Source organism: Homo sapiens, chromosome 13 (genome assembly GCF_000001405.40).
Source record: "Homo sapiens chromosome 13, GRCh38.p14 Primary Assembly".
Taxonomy (NCBI): domain Eukaryota; kingdom Metazoa; phylum Chordata; class Mammalia; order Primates; family Hominidae; genus Homo; species Homo sapiens.
Window position 1 is genome coordinate 29936140 of NC_000013.11, and position 20974 is coordinate 29957113.

The window sequence follows — 20974 nt, forward strand, 5'->3', positions numbered from 1 at the left end:
GCCTCCCAGAACAGGGAAGCTGCAGGAAAGTTGACAAAAGCACAGCAAAGCAGGGAGAGCCTCCTCGGTAGAGAGCAACGACCAGGTGGGTGTGGGTGTGGAGAGCAGTGGGGCCCACCTGGGCAGGTGCGGGGGGATGGGAGGAGGGGCTGAGAGTGCTCTCTAAGTTAAGGTCACGGTGTAGAGGAGAGGACTTGAAAACTTCCTGCAGCAGCTTCGTGGCCCGGTGAAATGTTCTCAGCAGCAAGCATGAAGCTCTGATTTGTAAAAAAATCAATACGGCTTGCATGCCAACTATGCCTTCTCCAATCCTGCATTTGTGATGTCAGAGGTTGTCATTCTGGGCTATGGAGCAAACCTTTCAGGGTTGACCCAGTCCTTCTAGGTCATGTGGAGTGGGCCAGCTTTAATGAACCTGTCTAAAAGGAAGGAAGAGAAAGAGCTCAGCTCCTTAGGGGAACAAGGTGGACCTTGGCAGCTGTCTCACTCCTCACCAGCTCTTCACCTCAGATCTTGTCCTGACTTCCTGGTCCACTAACGGCCTCCTGGATAGAAGAGTCAGGTAATGATCCCTGCCTTTCAATACTCATTGCTCAGTTTCAACAATCATCAACAATTTGCCAATCTCATTTCATCTCTCCTCTTATCTTTTTCCTTTTCTGGAGTATTCAGATCCTCTCACTTTCTGAGTGGAACTAAGAGTCTTCCTCACCTTCATCACCACTATTAGCTTATAAACCTCTTTTAAGGACAGGGATTCACCTCAGCTCAATTATGTTTTGTTACACACGTGGTACCCATCTTCTGTGTTGAGAGATGTTTGAATTATACAGTTTTTAGTGCATTAAGTGTTAGTGTTTGGGATCCAATTTGGCTCACTCTAGATGAGCTATAGAGTCTTCATTTTTTCTCCTCTCCCTTTTTCCTTCTTGAGTTAAAAATCACAGTTACCCAGCCTCCCCATACCTCCCCCCGCACCCTATATTACCACTTGTTTTTCTTTCTTTTTTCTAACCACACCCTGAGGCATTTCACCAGCAACTCTTTATTATCTAACCACAGTTCACCAGCCCAGGAGATGTTCTGAAAATTGACAATGATCATGATATACCCTGGATCCAGAATACTTCTCTATACAATGGGTGTGTATAAAGACAGACAGACCTGCCAGGCTCCATCAGGAAAGCTCTGTGTCTCCTTCACATGTGGAGGGACAGAATATTATCTGGAGATGGAGAATGCTTCTGAGAGCCTCTAGCACAGGGATCCCCAACCCCACAGCCTCGGGCAGGTCCCAGTCCCAGTCTGTGGCCTGTTAGGAACCGGGCCACACAACCGGGGGTGAGCGGTGGGCAAGTGAGCGTTACCACGTGAGCTCTGCCTCCTGTCGGATCAGCCGGTAGCATAAGAGTCTCATAGAAGCGTGAACTCTATTGTGAATTGCGCAAGTGAGGGCTCTAGGTTGGGTGCTTCTTATGAGAATCTAATGCCTGAGGATGAGGCAAAACAGTTTCATTCCAAAATCATCCCCCGGACCCCATCTGTGGAAAAATTGTCTTCCATGAAACCCGTCCCTAATGCCAAAAAATTTGGAGACCACTGCTCTAGTAGGCCTGCCTACTGGGCTTACTTTGTGTATATGAAATTGATAATTATTCCTCGTTTCAGAAATTTAAAATGTTACATTTATATTTCTTTCATATTTCCAACATTGTACCAAAGGTCAGTCCTAGAATGCTTTGTTTTAGCTGTTTTTCTTTCCTTAGGCAGAGAACAAAGATTGGTGGCTTCCTCCTGAGCACACTGGGATGTGGCATTACATCGGGGCTGCTGAGTGCCCTTACCTTCAGCTGCCCAGATGCAGAGGCAGGTGGGTGGGGCCAGGGAGTTTGATGCTTCACCTCCTTAAGTGAGAACTGCATCATGCAAACAGTCAGCTCTCAGCCAGATGGCACCACAAGGTTCTGTGAATTTCTCTCAGCACAACAAGCACATCTGCCAGTTGGGTTCCAATGCTGTTTTCTCTTTTCTTCTCGGCACTAGACACCAGGGCTTTAATTACACAGCCAAACTCAGCCGCAGAACACTCCCCAGTCTCGTCCTGGCTGGGCCCAGGACCTCCCCACCTCTTCAAAAGCCCCAAAATGGAACGATCATGGCCGGTCATCAGGGCCGGCAGGTGCAAAGGTGCTAAGTGGGCTGAGCTGACCCTGTACTCCTCTTGGTTCTCTCTGTAATGATCCCCTCTTCCTCACAGGCCCCCTTTGCCCTGATCTCGCCCTCCCACCTGCTGTCGGAGGGCCCCTCATGGAGATGCTCAGCCAGGCCCAGACCTCAGCGCTCCCTTGGCCTGGCCTTTCCACTGGGCTTCCTCGTGTCCTTAGTGCCCGGGTCCCCAGGGGAAGGCTTGGCCAGAGAGCTGCTTGGAAGCAACAGTTATTACGTAGACAATTGACAGAAATCTGTGTGGTTGTGCGGCCACACTCCTTTGTCAATCCTGCCCAGATATCCTGCTTTCCTCATAACAGCCAGCATTTTTCTGAGTGCTCACTATGTGCCAGGCACTTTACTGTATTAACTCATTTAATCCTACAACAACCTTATGAGGTAGGTGCTGCTGTTAATCACATTTTACAGATGAGAAAACTGAGGCACAGAGAGGTTCAGCCCCTTGCCCCAAATCACCCAGCTAGTAATGAGCAGAGGTGGGATTCATATCTAGGATTCTAGCCTGACTCAAGAGCCAAAAGGCTTTTAAAAGAAAACCTGAAACTACGTACAATTCCATATGACATGGAAAAAATTAAATAAAGTTCTTGGCTCAAAGGGTGGCATTGTGATGCTTTCCTTTTCCCTTTTCATCTTCTCATTTCCACTCTTAAAAAAATTATTTTTCTCACACAGTGACTGTGACAAGAGTAAATATGATAGTGGAGGTTCAGATAATGTGAAAAACCAGTGGAGGAGACAATTTTAGGTGGCTTTGCTGTGTCCTCTTCACCTGACAGAGGTGGGCACCCTTAGGTCTGGTTTATGATCTTGGCCAAGCCTCAAAAAGGGAAGACCAAAACTCCTAGAAGCACCCCGTGGTTATAGAGTTGTTAGGGAAATGCGGTATGCAAAGCCTCTGAAAGGAAAGGATCCAAGCTTAGGGATGTGAGGATCTACTAAAATTGTAAGGGACACATGAATAAGAGGGAGATTGATCTGTGACGATGAGTTGGCAAAAAATGAAAATATGCACAAACTCCCCACCATGGAGGAGGCCTCGTGTGCGGGAAAAGGCATTGTTTCTGCCCTTTGGATGTGTTGAAGGATGCTCTAGAATAGGGAAAGTCATTAAAAACTAAATCACAGAGGAGCATGTGACACAGGGCATAGTGCAAGGGGAGTTTAGAGAGGGTATCAGGCAAATCAGCGAGGTGTAAGGGCAGAAGGATGAAGCTGTGGCTTTGAGAGAGGACTTGGAGGCTGAGGAGAGCTCAGATGTCACCAGGCAAGACCTTAGTCCCAACCCACATGGTCGTTGCCTCCACTGTCCTTCCAAGATGCTCCAGCCAGGGCCCATGTCCATGCTCCCTGGATCTCTTGCCTCCAGCTACAGTACCTGCCATGCAGCTGGTGCTCAAGATACTTTTGTTTTAAAATATCAGTGAATAAATGAATAAGCACAGCCGTTGAGTTTTTAACCATTAGGTCAGTCAGGTGTATGAAATTTGAAGAGCCACTTACACGTCTTGATTGAATTCCCCTTTGTCTTGCCAGTTTCTCCCTTTTCCTTTACTGCACCTTTCAGATTTCTCAGCGTAGCCTTCATTCATAGTGTCACTCACAGTGGGATACGTCAGGCTGCATCCACTGTGTTATTCGGTGTGTCACCAGTGCCTTGACTAGGACACAGATAGCCTTGAAAGAGTGGTTACCTTCACTAATAAGCATTATGCAATGTCTTCACTGCCTTCTCTTGGCTCTTTTGGTCTCCATCCTGAATCCTACTGATGTGATCTTTGGTGATGGCGCTGGGTGAAGGTGGTGCTGACAGTAAGATGTGCACAGGCTCACCTCTAGCTCAGCCTCTACCTCACTCTGGAACCCCAAGCTCATCCCCCACTATACGATGGGGGTGGCAGGACTTGCCCTGGATCCCCGACAGGGTTATCACCAGAGAGACAGTTGGGAAAGCTCATTGAAAAGTTACTGTTCTGGCTAGGCGTGGTGGCTCACGCCTGTAATGCCAGCACTTTGGGAGGCCGAGGTAGGCGGATCACCTGAGGTCAGGAGTTTGAGACCAGCCTTCCCAATGTAGTGAAACCCCATCTCTACTAAAAATACAAAAACTTGCCAGGTGTGGTGGTGCATGCCTGTAATCTCAGCTACTCAGAAAGCTGAGGCAGGAGAATCACTTGAACCCAGGAGGTGGAGGTTGCAGTGAGCTGAAATCGCACCACTGCCCTCCAGCATGGGCTACAAGAGCGAAACTCTGACACACACACACACACACACACACACACACACACACACACACACGAAAACAAAAGAAAAGTTACTGTTCTATTAAATGTACTCTCTCTAATGAATGAAATCTTCCTGCATATAATGATTTGAGCCTTCTCCATAACTCTTCACTCCTTTTTACACCAATTTTTGTTTTAATGGGAAGAAAAAAAACCCTATGCACTATTTCCTCCCCTACCTTTTCTAGTTAGGATTAAACAGAAGAAAAATGGTGGCACCATTCCCAGAGGTCTTCAGCATTTGAACTTTACACTAGAAAACTCTCAATCCAAAGCTAAAATTCATATGTAACCAATGTCCTTAAGCTAACAGCTGCTTGCACATTCAAAAAAGCTTTGTATTTCTCTCTTCATGTCACTGTTAACTCTCTATTTCTCTTTAGCTATTTATCAGCCTCTGAGAAAATCTCCCGGCAACTCCTCCCCACATAAAACTATTCTAAATCCATGTGAAGCCCTTAATTTAATCAACACATTACCATTTCCTAACAAAGGGTAAATGAGATCAACTAAATTTACACCAGGAAGAAAGGAAATTAATTTTACTCAATTATAAAAAGGAGGAGGCTTTACACAGGTAACAATTTAACAATTGTAGTAGTGGGGATTATGGAAAACTCTGAATCAGGATGCCAGGAGGTCACCCACTGCTGATAGGTTTCAAAATAACTCCCCAAATCCTGACAGTAACAATTTAGTGAAGGCCCAAGAGCCGAGATAGTCCTTAAGTAATGAAAAATGATGACAGCCTAAAAAGAGGGAATTGCATAATAATCAGAATTTAGATTTGAGACACTGATAAGTCACCTGTAAATAATCCGCAGAGCTTGCCTTTTAGCTACTTCTAAGGCTTGCAGACAATGCATTGTTTAAGCTATGTTCAGAAGACACCCAGCACCTTATTTTCTAGAACCAGATTTTTCTGTGGGTAGAAGGGAAGAAATCCAGGATTTATGGCAGATGTACAGTAAAATATAAACTAAGATGATTAAAACAAAATGGACCCTGGACAGTAATGCTAACTGGCACACTAAGATCAATGGATGTGGATTCATATAAGCTGTCTAGAGACCAGCTGGTAAAAATAGGGGGAATGGTTAGAAATTATAACCCACTCCAAGCTGGAAAACATGCCAACCGTATTGTGTTATTCTGGGGCACAAATTATAATTCTACAACACATTAAAGAGAAAATTGTATGGGAAGCTAGAAGTCATTTTCTTATGCTTCCCGCTCATAGGGAGCCACATGCCATTTGGATTACTGCACTTTTCAAAGTACATGGAAAGACTTGAGACAATCCAGAGAAGAATGACACAAACAAAAGGGCAGGACTCATGATGGAAAAGAGGCCCCATGAGGAAAGGCTAAAGAGTCAGAACTACTGAAGCTAAAGAGGAAAACTCAAGTAACGAAACATTATTGCTTTCAAATATGTGACAGGTATTTGGCTAGAAGTTATCACTGATACGTTTCCAGAACACATGGAGGCCAAGGCAGACAAAAGTAAAGATGGAAACCAGACCAGTAAATAAGTCCTTTGATGAACTTCTGAGTCTCTACAGATGAAGGCAAAGCTCCCTCACAGTTGCAGGCAACGTCTCATCTTTTGTCACTTCTGGCATGACACTGCACAGCCACAGCCAGTACGGTATCTCTGCCTTTGCCCATGTCCTGCCTTCTTTCTCCCTGGTCGGTATCTCCTCACCTCAACCAGCTTGGCCAGCTCCTTGGTCATTGGGGTTGCACCCACCCAGGCATGTGCCTGGCTCCGCACAACCTCAGAAGCTCTCAGTACAGTGCAGGACCAGAGGTTGAAACCAATGAAAGGTTGTTAAATAAAGAGAAAATGTTTAATGCTGAGAACAAAGACTAGGAAAGAGATGTCTAATAAGAAATTTTACAGTGAAATACCATGTGTTGTGCTCTGTAACTTCGTCTCCATCTCCCTAACATAGTGTTTAGTGAAATCTACAGTGCTCACTCATGCTTTGTGGAGTCTGGGGGTGAAAGCTTGTAGATATCCAACATTTGCATAACACTAGAAAGTCCACTTTGCCCTCTCCGAGAAAATCTAGTGATCCTGCTGTTTATATCTGATTCAGATCCCTCAATAAGAGTTCTCTTGGTCTCATTTTCATACTGATCCTAAGAAGCATTCACTAACTAGGCTGTACCTACCTAGTACAGCTCTGTCCATATGGTAGATCTGCAATAGATTCTTGGGATCTTATGGTAATTAGATAGCACGCCTATTCTGGAATAGTGGCAATTTGGTTATTCTCTTACACTGACCAAGCATGTGTTAGCTCACTGATGCCCATCTATGTAGGTATTTAGATGCATTGTCCTGGGAGACACCCAGCTTCCTGGGAAGATGGGGATGGAGAGTCTCCTGAAGTATCCTGAAGTTCTTCACTGTCTCCCTTGACAGGGATCCTGGGTAAACTTCATGAAGACCTACAGGGAACTGGCAGCTGGCCTGTTCTGCTATGAGAGAACTCTCTCGATAAGCCCTATTATTTTCCTGAAACCATGTTACATTATAAGAGGCTGGAAGGGATGGTGAGAAATCATTTATTCCATGGTTCTCTGGGCAGAACAGCACTCACCCATCGCAGAAGCCTCCACATCCTCTCATTATGTCTTATCTTTTTATTTGTTTCCAAGCCACATTCATCTCCAAAGCAAACCTTTGTTATGTTTACTTGAGAACACCACAGTTTCCCATTGCATCTCTCACCCCCTTGTCAAAACTATGCAAATTAAGAATAACCCCAATCTGGTTGAGATTGTTTGTAACTGAAAAGTAATTGGGTTATAATATGCTAATTCTTATGCTAATATTTGGCTCCAAAGATAAAGAGACCTGAAATGCTAATGTGAGAGTCCTCCCACAAAGAGGATTACAAGCAGGAAGTTTGCAGAAGAAAGGAGGGGACCCGAATGGAGCAAGGACTAGAAACACAGGCCCTTTAGAAATCATTGGGGGGTTTCGTTGGTTTGTTTCTTTATACTTTCTTTTATTTTGCAAATTTTCTATGATTACTATGTGTTACCGTAACACTTAGCAGGAAAAATAACGTAATGTCTAAAGAGAAAAAAGAATGAGGAACTTTCTCGGAGCAGAAGTAGATGAAGGAAAGGCCGAGGCTGGCCTTACCAGAGCCTCTCCCAGGAAACGGTCAGGCACTGACCTGAGCCGGCTTCCCAAGACAGGAAGAGTTGGTTTCAGGGAAAATCCATGTCTGGGATCCAGGGAAGTTGATGAGTCAGCTTTCAGGTGGGTGAGAGAACAGTGGCTCCAACCTGGGCCTCAGGACCACTGGGACTGAGAGGAAAGGGAAATAATATCTTCAAACCTGGTGGAAGAGGTCAATGTGAGCGTATTAGAACCATACCCTGTCGATGTTTCTCCATTCATTTCTTCAAGGAATATTCTACAAATATCTGTTACCCTCTTTGTACAGTACACTCTGCTAGTCTCTGTGGGTACTGGGAAGATGAATAAAGAGGAACGAAGATGCTTCCCCAGTCTGAAGAGCAGGGGCTTTCTCTGTGAGCCTGTGAAGGAGGCGGTGCAGGCATCAACCTGCTGAGGCCTTCACACCCCTCCTTCTGGCTGACCAGGAGCATTCAGCGATGAAGGAGGGAGAGGGTGCCCTTGGCTGGTGGTCGGTGCCTTGAGAAGTGCTGGAGAAGAGCTGGGCCCTCACTTGGGAAATCTTTTCTTTTTTTTAAGACAGGGTCTCACTCTGTCACCCAGGCTGGAGTGCAGTGACATGCTCACGGCTTACTGCAGCCTCAGCTTGCCAGGCTCAAGTGATCCTCCCACCTCACCCTTTCAGGTAGCTGGGACTACAGGCTTGTGCCACCGCGCCCGGCTGATTTTTGTGCTTTTTGCAGAGATGGGGTTTCACCATGTTGCCCAGGCTGGTCTGGAACTCTGGGCTCAAGCGATCTGCCCACCTCAGCCTCCCAAAATGCTGGGATTACAGATGTGAGCCACAGTGCCAGGCCTCACTTGGGAAATCTTAAGGAAAGAAATAAGGTGATGAGCTGAAAAGGGCCTTGAATTATGGCTCTGACTGTGTGCTGCCCCAGGGCATGTTCCACCCTGAATCTTCATCAAATCCTTTCCATACATGATTCTACCCGTGTGAAGCTCTGAACTTCTGTTAAAAGATGGTAGTAGTGGCCAGGTGCGGTGGCTCACGCCTGTGATCCCAGCACTTTGGGAAGCCAAGGTGGGTGGATCACCTGAAGTCAGGAGTTCGAGACCAGCCTGGCCAACATGGAGAAACCCCGTCTCTACTAAAAATACAAAAATTAGCTGGGCGTGTTGGTGGGCGCCTGTAGTCCCAGCAACTTGGGAGGCTGAGGCAGGAGAATCGCTTGAACCTGGGAGGTGGAGGTTGCAGTGAGCCAAGATCACGACATTGCACTCCAGCCTGGGCGACAGAGCAAGACTCCGTCTCAAAAAAAAAAAAAAAAAAAAAAAAAAAAAAAAAAAAAAAGCGAGTAGTTTATTCCTTTCCTCATCACCCATGTCTCTTTTTGACACTCTTGAATCCCTGTAATGCATTCTCAAAAATATTGAAGATCTCTTCAGCTTCTTTTCTTCCCCTGCCTTCACCAAGAGGTCACACATCATTACTGGCAGCAAATGGATCCCATCTGTACTACAGAGGTCAAAGATTTCAGTCAGTGAGTTACGGACACCGTCGACGAAAACAGCAGCCTGTCAGGGAATCACGTAATGATCACAGCCAAAGGAAGCCCTGTCCTGGGAGTACCCTGCTGATGCCTCAGCTTCTTGCTTCTAAGCTCCTGGCCCCATTTGGTCTGAGGCAAAGAACATTGAGATTGGTGCCATTTATTTTCATTAACGTGCAGAAGAGGCGGCAGGAGTTTTGGGAGACCTCTGAAGAACCATTAGTTGGGGTGAGACTAAGACCATGCTTTCTACTCTGGAAACTTGGTCTGCAACCGGTAAAGTAAGGTCTCCCAACAAATGGAATAATGTGCCGTGTGGCTATGATGGGTGTAGATAGATAATCAATGCTCAGCGCATTTTCCCCGGGAAAGGTTTCCAGGATGGCTTTTAAGGAAAGTAATGAGCTGTTTGTTCCCTGGTTGTAGGAGAAGAGGGTGTTTGTTGATCACACATCTTTTTAATTAGTTATAGACACAGATGGGTTTTTTTTCACGTTTTTCTGACATATACTTACTTATCTAATGAAAAGTGCCCAGCATAAAAATGCAGGAGACAGACTTCCTTAGCCACCAGAGGCATCTTCCCTGCTTCCATATTATTGGTTTTAAAGTGACCTGCCCTGAAAGAGACCATCTCCAAAGCCCTGAAGGTCGTCCATAGATCATTTCAGCCTAACAGGCCATTTATTTCCATACAGATACAACACCAAGTGAGGTGCTGTATGTGGGCCAAACATCACAGGTGTCAAGCAAGATGTATGTTAGGTTGTGTTCATCCCATGCATATTAGGGCTTTGTGGAACAAAATGCTTCTCTCCTTCAGCAGCAAAGTAATTGTGCTTAGACAATCTGTTTGACCTTCTCTGAGCCCCAGCTTCCTTATCTATAAAAAGACGTCTGGACTGAATGTTCCCAAGTTCCTCTCTGCTCTAAGCTCGCAAGCTGAAGTTTGTACACAAAAGCAGGACCTCTGCGGAGGAGCAAAAGTCTGCTCCACACCTACCTGATAACCCTCCTTGGTGCTCTTGGCTTCAGAGTTTGTTTCGATCCCCTCTCTTGTCTGACTGGAACAGTTCGACTTTTGCTACAAGCTGCAGCTCAAATACCATCTCCTCTCGGAGGCCTTTCTAGCTCTGTTCTTTTCCACATGTGTGTGTTTGGGCAGACACACGTATCTGTCAGGGTCCCTCTAATTCTAAAGAATCTGAACAATCTGTTTAATTCTAATGGGGCTCCTAGAGGACTTCACACCACCTGAATTTCAATGGAGTCATCACTGCACGGCTAGTGATTGGGTTCAGGACATGCTATGCAAAATACGGCACCTTGGCATTTAAGAAAGCAGCAGACACAGTTCTCTCTGACCTTCTCCTACTCTTCTCCCCTGAAGCATGCCATCAATGACTAAAGGAAGTAATAAGACCCTCTTGTGATGGTACCCCCCCTCCACACCTGGAGGAAAGGAATGTCCCTATCTGAAAACTCGGGGACACATAGAAGAATCTGAGCAAGTAGGCCTGACTAGTTCTCCTCAATTAATAACCATTAGTAGGGTGGCTCACGCCTATAATCCCAGCACTTTGGGAGGCCGAGATGGGTGGATCAACTGAGGTCAGGAATTCGAGACCAGCCTGGCTAACACTGTGAAACCCCATTTCTATTAAAAATACAAAAATTAGCTGGGTGCCATGGCACGCGCCTATAATTCGAGCTCCTTGGTAGGCTGAAGCAGGAGAATCACTTGAACCTAGGAGGTGGAGGTTGCAGTGAATCAAGATCATGCCACTGCACTCCAGCCTGGGTGACAGAGTAAGACTCTGTCTCAACAAAAAAAGAAAAAAAATTTATGACCATTAGATCATGCCCCTTTGTCCAATTACACTTATCCATTGTTGTCCACTCTGCATCAAACCTAACATAAAAGACCTTCCTTCGGGGGTCTTCCTTGCTGAAGACTTCTGTGTCGCATAAAACTTACACTAAATCAATTTGTATGCTTTTTTCTTGTTGCGCTATCTTTTGTTACAGGGGCCTCAGCCATGAGCCTAGAAATGGGTGAGGAAAAGATGTTACCTTTTCTCCCCTACACTGGTTCTTAGCATCAGCAAGAGAGTAGGGCAGAGTTGGCACATAGGCAGAGTAGCCTTCGAAAAGCCCTTCTCCGTCCCAGGTATTACGATGCTTTAGGGAGAGTGTTGTATGAAAACTGCTCATACATCCAGAATTATATCAGTTCCACAAGGTACTGGCACAAGAAGAGTCGTGGAAGACTGACCTGGCCATGGCTTCTCATGTCCCAGCTCAGGACCTGCCACATCAATTCTCCCTTTCCTCTGGCCGTCACGTGTGGAGTGAAATTCTCAGAAGCGGCTGTCCCTGTGCACCTCTCTGGCTGTGTCCAGGTTAGTGCTCTTCTGCAGCTGCCTCGTGGCCAGTCCCGAGCCTCAAGGCTGGGGCCTATTCATCTTTAGTGGCCAGCAGAGCAAGGATTTTTTCTAGAAGCACGGGTAAATGACTGTCCCACAGACAGACCTTTTGCTATTTATGAAAACCATCTTCCTGCACAGAGAGAGAAAAATCATGTGACAGGGCCTTGTAACAAGGCATCTCTTCTCAATATGAGGAGGGCCCGGGGTCCCAGAGCAGGTGATGACCAGCCTCATTTTAGAATCTCTCCCATTGCGTTTGACAGAGTGGAGGGTTGTGCTTAGCGATGAGTCTTTTGTCTCCCACCGCCAGCGCAGGCCAGCGCGTTTCAGAGACCAGGCGTGGGTTTCTTTTTATATTAAACCGCCCATTGTATTACCAAATGGCAGAGACTCAAAGGTGTGCTCTGGATAGGTCATTCTAGAGAGAGGACCAAGGACGTTCGTAAGAGCACTCTGTGTCCTCTGTGGCACAGAGCAGTCACTGTGAGCCCACCCCGGAGCCGGGGACAGGATTCCGGAGGGAGGAGGGATTTCATGAAGACTGTTTTTGGACATCTGTTCCTGGCGGGGTGGCTCGGCTCTTGCTTTCTGTTTGCTGTGGCCCAGGAACCCTGAGTGTGCCTGGGTGACACACCTTCCTCATCCCTCCCACGTCCTCATCCCCAAAGCATTTAGCTCCAGCCTGGGAACAGCTGGGAAGGGATTCCTCTACATTTCTATATTCAGGAGCACTGTGTTTACTCTATGGAGACTTACTAATCCAGCTTATAAATAAATTACTCCAAATTGATCTGTCAGTGCAGGAAGTGAAAGGAAGAGTCTGGAGCGCCTCTCCACTCCTGCTTAATCCACAGCCGTGGGCAGCTCCGGGAGGGGAGAAGACAGCAAGCCACATTCTCCTGTGTGGGGCCAGCTTCTCCTACCTCCTCCCACCTCCTTCCACCGCCACAGACGTGAAGGGGGAGACCTGACACCCCTACATCTAGATTTGGGGGAGGGAAAAGGAAGACATACTCACTTGTTTTTAGTCCAAATGAAACTTGCCATGAGTGAAAAGTGATATTACCATCCAAGAGGCACCTTCCTGGACGTTTCTGTATATTGGCCACGGTCCTCCAAGCCCCACCAGCAGAGGAGCGAGTGCCCTGGCGGTGGCTGCTCAGGGACAGTGGCCTTCATAGTCTCACCTCGCCATGCCCTGCAGGAGGAGGGCTCCGAGGAAAACCCCACTGGCAGGAAGGGGTAAATAGAGGGACTGTGGCACACAGAGATTCCTGGAGGCTCTAAAGACTGTTTTGAGAGCTAAGGGAAGTCGGAAGCTAGGAGTAAATTATGGGTGTTATTTTCAGTTGCTGGGTTAAATTATTAGTGTTCTCGGGTTGGTTGTTATCCCGGGCACTGAAGTTATAGCCCTGGTCTTGCCAAGATCTGTGTCTCTGCCCAGCCAACCAGGTCCAGGGGAAGGGAGCGTGGTGCTCTGCAGCACTGCCCAGGACTCTGGAGACCCCGTAGGTTCCTTTGAAGCCATGAGCAGCTGGGTTCTCCCCGTGCTGATGCAGTGGGGACTGGCACCTGGCATGTATCCGCCCCACCTTGCTCTGCCATCCTCCTGATTCGTAGTTTATGACACGGAAAGTAGGGGTGCTTGCAACTCAAGATGAACCTATTTCAGTGTATCCTGACCCTAGAGAAAGGCTCCAACTCTTAAAGAAAATGAGACCCTGAATTCCCTCTTTTCCTTAACCACTTTGTCCTTATGTCCTAAAGGGGCCAGATCTGGGTTCCTGGGAGGAGTCTGTGTATCTCTCTCTCTCTCTCTCTCTCTCTGTCTCTCTCTCTGTCTTTCTGTCTCTCTCTGTTTTTGTGTCTGTTTCCATCTCTGTTTCCCTCTGTTTCTTGTTTCTCTGTCTCTGTTACCTCTTTCTCCATTTCTCTCTTTCTCTGTCTCTCCGTCTCTTTCTGTTTTTCTCGTTTTCTGTCTTTCTCGTTTTCTGTCTGTTTCTCTCTGTCTCCCATCTCTGCACGCCCTGCATGGAGGTACCTCACTTTCCTCCTCCTGCAATCCAGTCTCACGCATATTTCTCTTTTTGGTTACTCTTAATAACTTACTCAGCAACTGAAAATAACACCCACGATTTACTCCAAGCTTCCAGGCTTCTTTAGCTCCCAAGCAGAGGCCAGAGCCTTTGGGAACCCATGCCCTGCAACCCTGTTGGGTCTCACAGTCTCAGGCTCTCCGTCCTGGGAGGTGTCCATTTGGCCTGTGGTATATGTAGGTCTTTCTTTCTCTTTTTTCTCCCTGCTGTTTCATGGTACATGACTTAACTGGGCAGCTTAGTATCTCTCCAGAATGTAGGCAAGAGCTGGGGAGGAGGGCACTCCAAGGCAAGTCCTTGATGTAGCTCTTATGCATGTTTTTTGGTGCTGAGAATTTTGATAGTAATAATACAAATATGATGCTGTAGGCTTATGTGTAGATTTCAATTACCAATTCAGAGAGTGTTTCCTTGTATTCCAGAAAATGAACATCTGTTTACAGCTTCAATTTTCTAATGATTAGAATGCCACAAACAAGAAAACCCAGAGGAAAGCTGTTGATGCTGAAATGTTTCCTTCCTCTACATATTCCATGATGCGTCCTGTGGGGTTATGCAAACAGTAATATCTCATTAAATATTCTGGTCTCTTGGGAATAGCTTCACATTGTCAAAAATATATCTTCTCTCAGCTCCTACTGTAACAACAGTTAACTTTTTTTAAAAGATTACGTGATTTTGTTGTTGTTGTTGTTGTTTTGTTTGTTTGATTTTTGAGACGTGCTCTCACTCTGTCACCCAGGCTGGAGTGCAGTGGCATGGTGTAATATCGGCTCATGGCCTCTGTCTCCTGGGCTCAAACAATCCTCCCACCTCAGCCTCCTGAGCAGTTGGGACTACGTGCATGCGCCAGCACACTCAGCTAAATTTTTTTTTTTTTTTGTAGAGACAAGATTTTGCCATGTTGCCCAGGCTGGTCTCGAACTCCTGGGCCCAAGCAATCTTCCTTCCTTGGTCTCCCAAAGTGCTGGGATTACAGGCGTGAGCCACTGTACCCAGCTAAAAAAGAGTTTTAATATTTTATTGCATGCCAGGCTCTGTGATAACTAATTAACAGGCATTAATTAATTTATTGCTCACAATAGACTTAGGAGACAGCATCACTATTTTACAGTAAGAAAAACCAAGGTCCAGAGAGTTCAACTGACTTGCTCATGATTTCATAGTCAGTAAGTGGTGTGTCTGTGTATTGGTCCATTCTCACATTGCTATAAAGAACTACCTGATGGCTGGGCAAGGTGGATCATGCCTGTAATCCCAACACTTTGGGAGGCTGAGGTGGAGGGATCACGAGGTCAAGAGTTTGAGACCAGCCTGGCCAATGTGGTGAAACCGCATCTCTACTAAAAATACAAAAATTAGCCAGGCATGGTGGTGCATGCCTGTAATCCCAGCTAATCAGGAGGTTGAGGCAGGAGAATCATTTGAACCCAGGAGGCGGAGGTTGCAGTGAGCTGAGATTGTGCCATTGCACTCCTGCCTGGGCAAAAGAGCAAGACTCTGTCTCAAAAAAGAAAAAAAAAAAAAAAGAACTACCTGAGACTGGGCAATTTATGAAGAAAAGAGGTTTAATTGGCTCATGGTTCTGCAGGCCATACAGGAAGCCTGGCTAGGGAGGCCTCGGGAAACTTACTTTCATGGCAGAAGACAAAGGGGAAGCAGGCACGTCCTACATGTTTGGAGCAGGAGGAAGAGAGCGAAGGGGGAGGTGCTATATACTTTTGAGGTCTCTTGAGAACTCGATCACAAGACAGCACTAGGGTGGTGGTGCTAAACCATTAGAAACCACCTCACGATCCAATCACCTCCCACCAGGCCCCACCTCCAACATTGAGAATTAAAATTCAACATGAGATTTGGGTGGGGACACAGAGACAAACCCTATCAGTCTGGGATTGGAATCCATGTCTAGTTGACTCCAAAGTGTGTACTTTTAATCACTATAAACATTGTCCTGCCAAGCATAGAATCTTGAGAGTCTGGGGGATGCAGTGACCAGGGTGATCAACTATTTCGAAACACACAGGGGTCTAAACACCCTTCCTCAGCTTCCTATCCTAGCAACTTAGCTCAGCACGCCCCAGCCATTTCCATAGTATCTAAGGAACACCGAAAGGCAGGAGGCTCAGTTAAATTTTTATTAAACTCATCACTTTCTTTTTAATAAGGGATATTGAACCACACCCAGTATAAGCCTCACTCCAATTTAGTGATTCAGTACAGCACTGCTTGATGTGACGAAGGCCTTCTTGACTCTAAGGTTTAGGAGAATTTCATGGAAGAGGAAATTAGGCTCACTCTGTCCACCCCAAGTGGTAAAGATGTTGAGAATTCTCATCCCAGGGTTTGGAACAGCCTGCACAGCTAAAATAAAGTAGAAAGAAAACCCATTTCCTATTTACCATTTTTATTTCTTCAGAGAGTTAAACATATCTATTTTCTCGCCCTCCAAGTTTTTTCTCTATTATTTCAGAGAACGCCCTCATGTCTTATTACCAGATAAGACACAGCCCTTGCAGACTCCTAAAGACAAGCGGCCTCATTGTGCAGGATGTCCTGTTAGTTTTAGGCTTCTGAGGAGACAAGCTGGGCAAGGGATTGTATTAGCACACACATTGCTCCACCCAGCCTTTCTTTGAATTTTTTTTTTTTTCATTCAAAGTCTCCAAAGGCTGAAACAGAGACTATAGGTCTCAGGAGAACATCCGTAATACCAATTCCTTCAGTGGCAGTAGGTTAGAGTGATTGTAGTAGAAGCCACACGATCTTTAAAAATAATTGCTTTGACAATGATGGATATAGGAATGGACAACAAAATCTGCCCTCCTGTTACCTTCTTGCAAGTATTTGCTGGTTTAGATAACTTGCAAGTTATTTTCCCCAGGCCTGGTTGGTCTCAGCCAGGAAAAACCTACTCACAGCAATGGCTCTGGCCATACTGCTTAGAAATTGCTGGTGCCAAGGGATGTGATGATGGTCTATGTGCTTTTCTCAACATCGTTTTTTATGCCAACATATCAGAAAGATAATATTCTTGTCCTGGTGTGCTTAGAAAGTAACTCTAGCAACTAAACTATAATGATGAGTACAGTAAATGGGTCACCCCTTTCTTTAAAGAGAAAATTGCTCAAAGTTCTCTGGGAAGTATGGGGGTTTTCCATGACTAGAATGAATCCATGGTTTTCTTAAGAAAAAAATCTAAAGAAATACAACATAAAGCATGCAAGGAGTCTATGCATTTCATGGCAATCTTAGCTCGTTCTGGGAAACAACTGTTGTTAGTAAAGCCTCATACGATGCATTCATTCAGCCATTCAACAAATATTAATTAGGAATTGACTTCTTCCACAGTTTGTGCTTGGTACTAGGTAAAATTAAAAAAGAAGCAGAGCCTGTAATCCTAGCACTTTGGGAAGCTGAGGCCAGGGGATCACCTGAGATTAGGAGTTCGAGACTAGCCTAGCCAACAATGCAAAACTCCATCTCCACTAAAAAAAAAATACAAAAATTGACCAGGCATGGTGGCAGGTGCCTATAATCCCAGCTACTCAGGAGGCTGAGGCAGGAGAATCACTTGAACCCTTGATGGGGTGGTGGGGGAGAGGTTGCAGTGAGCTGAGATTGCACCACTTCACTCCAGGCTGGGCGAAAGAGCAGAACTCTGTCTCAAAAAAAAAAAAAAAAAAAAAAAGCAGAGATGTTGTCTCAACCCAAGCTGGGCTGCTGAAACTGAGGACCTTACATTCCAGTGGGCAGGCACCGGGTACAGAGGTAGAGCTTGGGTTCCAGTGACAAGCCAGAAACTAGCTTGGGATGACTCTGAAGAATACCCTTACGTCAATATAGCTGGTATTGTACCAACACATTTAGGTCCAGAAATTGATTGCGCAATGGCATAACGGGGGAGATCTGCTTTAATTGCCATCAGTTCTGTTTTCAAAATATCTGGACTTTTTCTTCGGCCAAAAGCTCATGTGATCCAACAGAGTAATGCAGTCGCTTTAAAAAGCGAATGTAATTGTAAGCTCCATTAAATAAAAATACCGTGTCCAGATAATAAGTAACAGTAACACTATATGCTGGTCAGATGATAATTGGAAAATAATGTTCGCTACAAGGCATTATAATTAAGATGTCTCATTTAGAAAGGCAGGGTGGAGGTGCTGAGGGCTTTAGAAACGGTTCCTGATCTAGGCTGGCCGGAGGCTCTGAGTGTGTTTAGCTTGGAAGAGAGAAAACAAGGAACTATCTTCCTGTCTTCAAATATTGGAGGAGGTGTTGTGAGGACGAAGGAATAAATCGGTTTTATTTTAGGACAAGACAGAAGAGGAGCAAAGAGTGAGTAAATGTCAAGGGAAAGACAGAGGAAGTAAATAAGGAAGGAAGTGGCAAGGAGGTTGATTTTGAGTTCAATAGACGAAAACAACTTGCTGAAAAAAGCTTTCTAACAAACTAAAGTGCTCAGAATTGGAAATGGCACTCTCCAACAATGGAGAGGTCACTGTCACTTCTCAGAATGTAAGCTACATGGTCATTTGTCAAGGACCTTGAGTTCCAGCATCAGGTAGAATGTTAGCTGTCTAAGTTCTCATTCATCTACAGGACACGGGGCTTCTGCGATGGGCCGGGCTTGTCCTGCGGAGACTGTCGCCAAGGCAGGAAGTGGAACACAAGTACGTGGGCTCCTTGAGCAAAGTGCTGTTAAACAGATGGGACACTCTAGATGCATTAGTTAAAGCCAAGCATGTTTCTAGACACTTCTAGAGAAGGAAACTTTCCCTAACGTCACAGCGGGGTCGGGGGTAAAATGGGCGGGTCTTCGTGAGAAGTGAGCTCCTTCTATGACAGGTATGAAAGAGAAAGCTCGCTGGTTCCAGGTGACAGCTCCCATCGAAAATTCCAGGAGCTGCTCTGGAGGAAATGGTGCTGAGATTTGCAAAGGGCAAAGAACAAATGATGCAAGAGACGGAGGAAATATGGACTCGGCCCAAACACAGTCCCGTCAGGGGCCGTCTGTGGGAATGTGCCGCTGTTCTTGTGCTATTTCAGCGCAAAATATTTAGGAAATAGAGAGACACACAGAATGGCAATTCAAACTGATTCATCTACCTGATTTAAAAAAATAAAATATTGCTTCAGCTTAGTCCAAAATGTAACACATGGAGGTATAACCTTTTAGTTAAAAAATCATTCTTTTTCTTACCATACTGAGAGATCTTTGCCGGTAGAGAAAATGTCCTGTTTATTTTGGTATCCCTAGAGTTTAACATAGAGTCTACATATAGCAAAAGTTTCAATAAACATTTAGTATACCAAACAGAAATGTGATTTTTGGATGGCAGAGGGGTTGAGATATCTGGGCAAGAACAAAGTGTGATTTTCACTTTCTCTGGTCTTCTGTTGTCCCAGCAAAACCTCCCTCTGCTCCAAGGACAGCAGGATGCCCTGAGCTCTTGGTTGCAGCACAGCGTCCTCTAGCCCCCTCCATGGCACCCTCAGCTGACTTACTCACTCATGCATTCAGCAAATGTCCTTTGAGCCCCTACCATGTGCTAGGCTCCATGCCAGGGCTGGGTTATAGTGACAGAAAGACCAGTAGGATCCCTGCTTCCTGCAACTCTTCCTCTGAGTCTGCATTGGTGGGAGTGATGGCATTGGGAGTTGAGTACCTGGCATCAATTAAACAGAAAAAAAAAGTTTCTTTTAAAAATTTCCAATGGAGATGTGAAAGTATATATATATATTTTTTGAGACGGAGTTTCACTCTTGTTTCCCAGGCTGGAGTGCAGTGGTGTGATCTTGGCTCACTGTAACCTCTACCTCCTGGGTTCAAGTGATTCTCCTGCCTCAGCCTCCCAAGTCACTAGGATTACAGGTGCCCACCACTATGCCCGGCTAAGTTTTTTTATTTTTAGTAGAGATGGGGTTTCACCATGTTGGCCAGGCTGGTCTCGAACTCCTGACCTCAGGTTTTATCCACCCACCTCAGCCTCCCAAAGTGCTGGGATTACAGACATGAGCCACCTGGCCCGGCTGTGAAAATATTTTTTTAAAGAACTCTATTCGATAACCTCTGTGATTTGGTATTTATTTGATCCCAAAACATATCCAGATAACAAGTATAAACACAAACAAACAAACAAAAAACACTATGCCCAGAAATACTGATCAATCAGAAGAGGAGTTGATCCAAGCTTTAAGCACTTTTTTTATGTTAAAAAAGTCAGGTGCGGTGTCTCACGCCTGTAATCCTAGCACTTTGGGAGGCCGAGGTGGGTGGATCACCTGAGGTCAGGAGTTCAAGACCAGCCTGACCAACATGGTGAAATCCTGTCTCTCCTAAAAACACCAAAAATTAGCTGGGCATAGTGGTGTACACCTGTAATCCCAGCTACTCAGGAGGCTGAGACAGGAGAATCACTTGAACCCAGGAGGTGGATGTTGCAGTGAGCTGAGATTGTGCCATTGCACTCCAGCCTGGGCAACAGAGCAAAACTCCATCTCAAAAAAAAAAAAAAAAAAAAAAGTAAAATGAGTACAGTCAAACACCATTCACACTTGACTTGACCAAAGCCAGTATGATAAATATGAATTGTTCTCAGCTACCAAGCGTTGAGAGGATCACTCTCTACACCTGCTGCCTGCATGGCCATCAGTGCTTTCCAACAGGTTCACAAACAAGAGAGGTTTGAAAGCGTTGAAATTCTGCATGTAAATCGAGTCACCTTCTCACTAAAGGATTCATTTCAACTCATATCCTCAGACAAGAAAGGTAAAAAAGATGAATAGAGAAATGGAAAGGAAAGAGTTGAGAAGAAAGTGTGAAGAAGGGCAGACTCAGAGCTTGGAGGCCAATTAAAATAAGAAGAGGCTGAAGGAAAGGCAGGGAGAATAAGAAAAGAGGGGAGGAAGGGAAAAATGAAGAAAAAGAGGAACTAAAATTTTGCAGAGTTGCTGAGTTCCAGCTCAAACGTGATGGAAAGGAGTGTGTTGTTGACCTGCAAGGGACCCCTGCTGCCTGGGCTGCCTGAGTTCCCAGGGATGTGTCCTCTGATGCTGGAGGCAGGGACAGATTGAATGTCACCAGCTGCATCCTGCCCAGCACATGAACGCTAGGGTAGCAGAGAGTGCAGAGGATACCTCAACACAGGAGCAGATGGCTGAGATGCATTAGTGTCTGTAACACTTTCAATCCCTCTGAGATACATGCCTGGGAAAC

At 45.6% G+C, this 20974-nt stretch overlaps 1 long non-coding RNA gene across 1 annotated transcript; it reads left to right on the forward strand.

The window, feature by feature from the left end:
• Positions 1 to 391: 391 nt before the first annotated feature.
• LINC00544 (long intergenic non-protein coding RNA 544) lies at positions 392 to 14349 on the forward strand. The gene is made up of 5 exons (NR_033889.1): positions 392 to 562; positions 1063 to 1142; positions 1767 to 1870; positions 11464 to 11632; positions 14178 to 14349. It is a non-coding gene; the product is annotated as a long intergenic non-protein coding RNA 544 (long non-coding RNA).
• The last annotated feature ends 6625 nt before the right edge of the window (positions 14350 to 20974 follow it).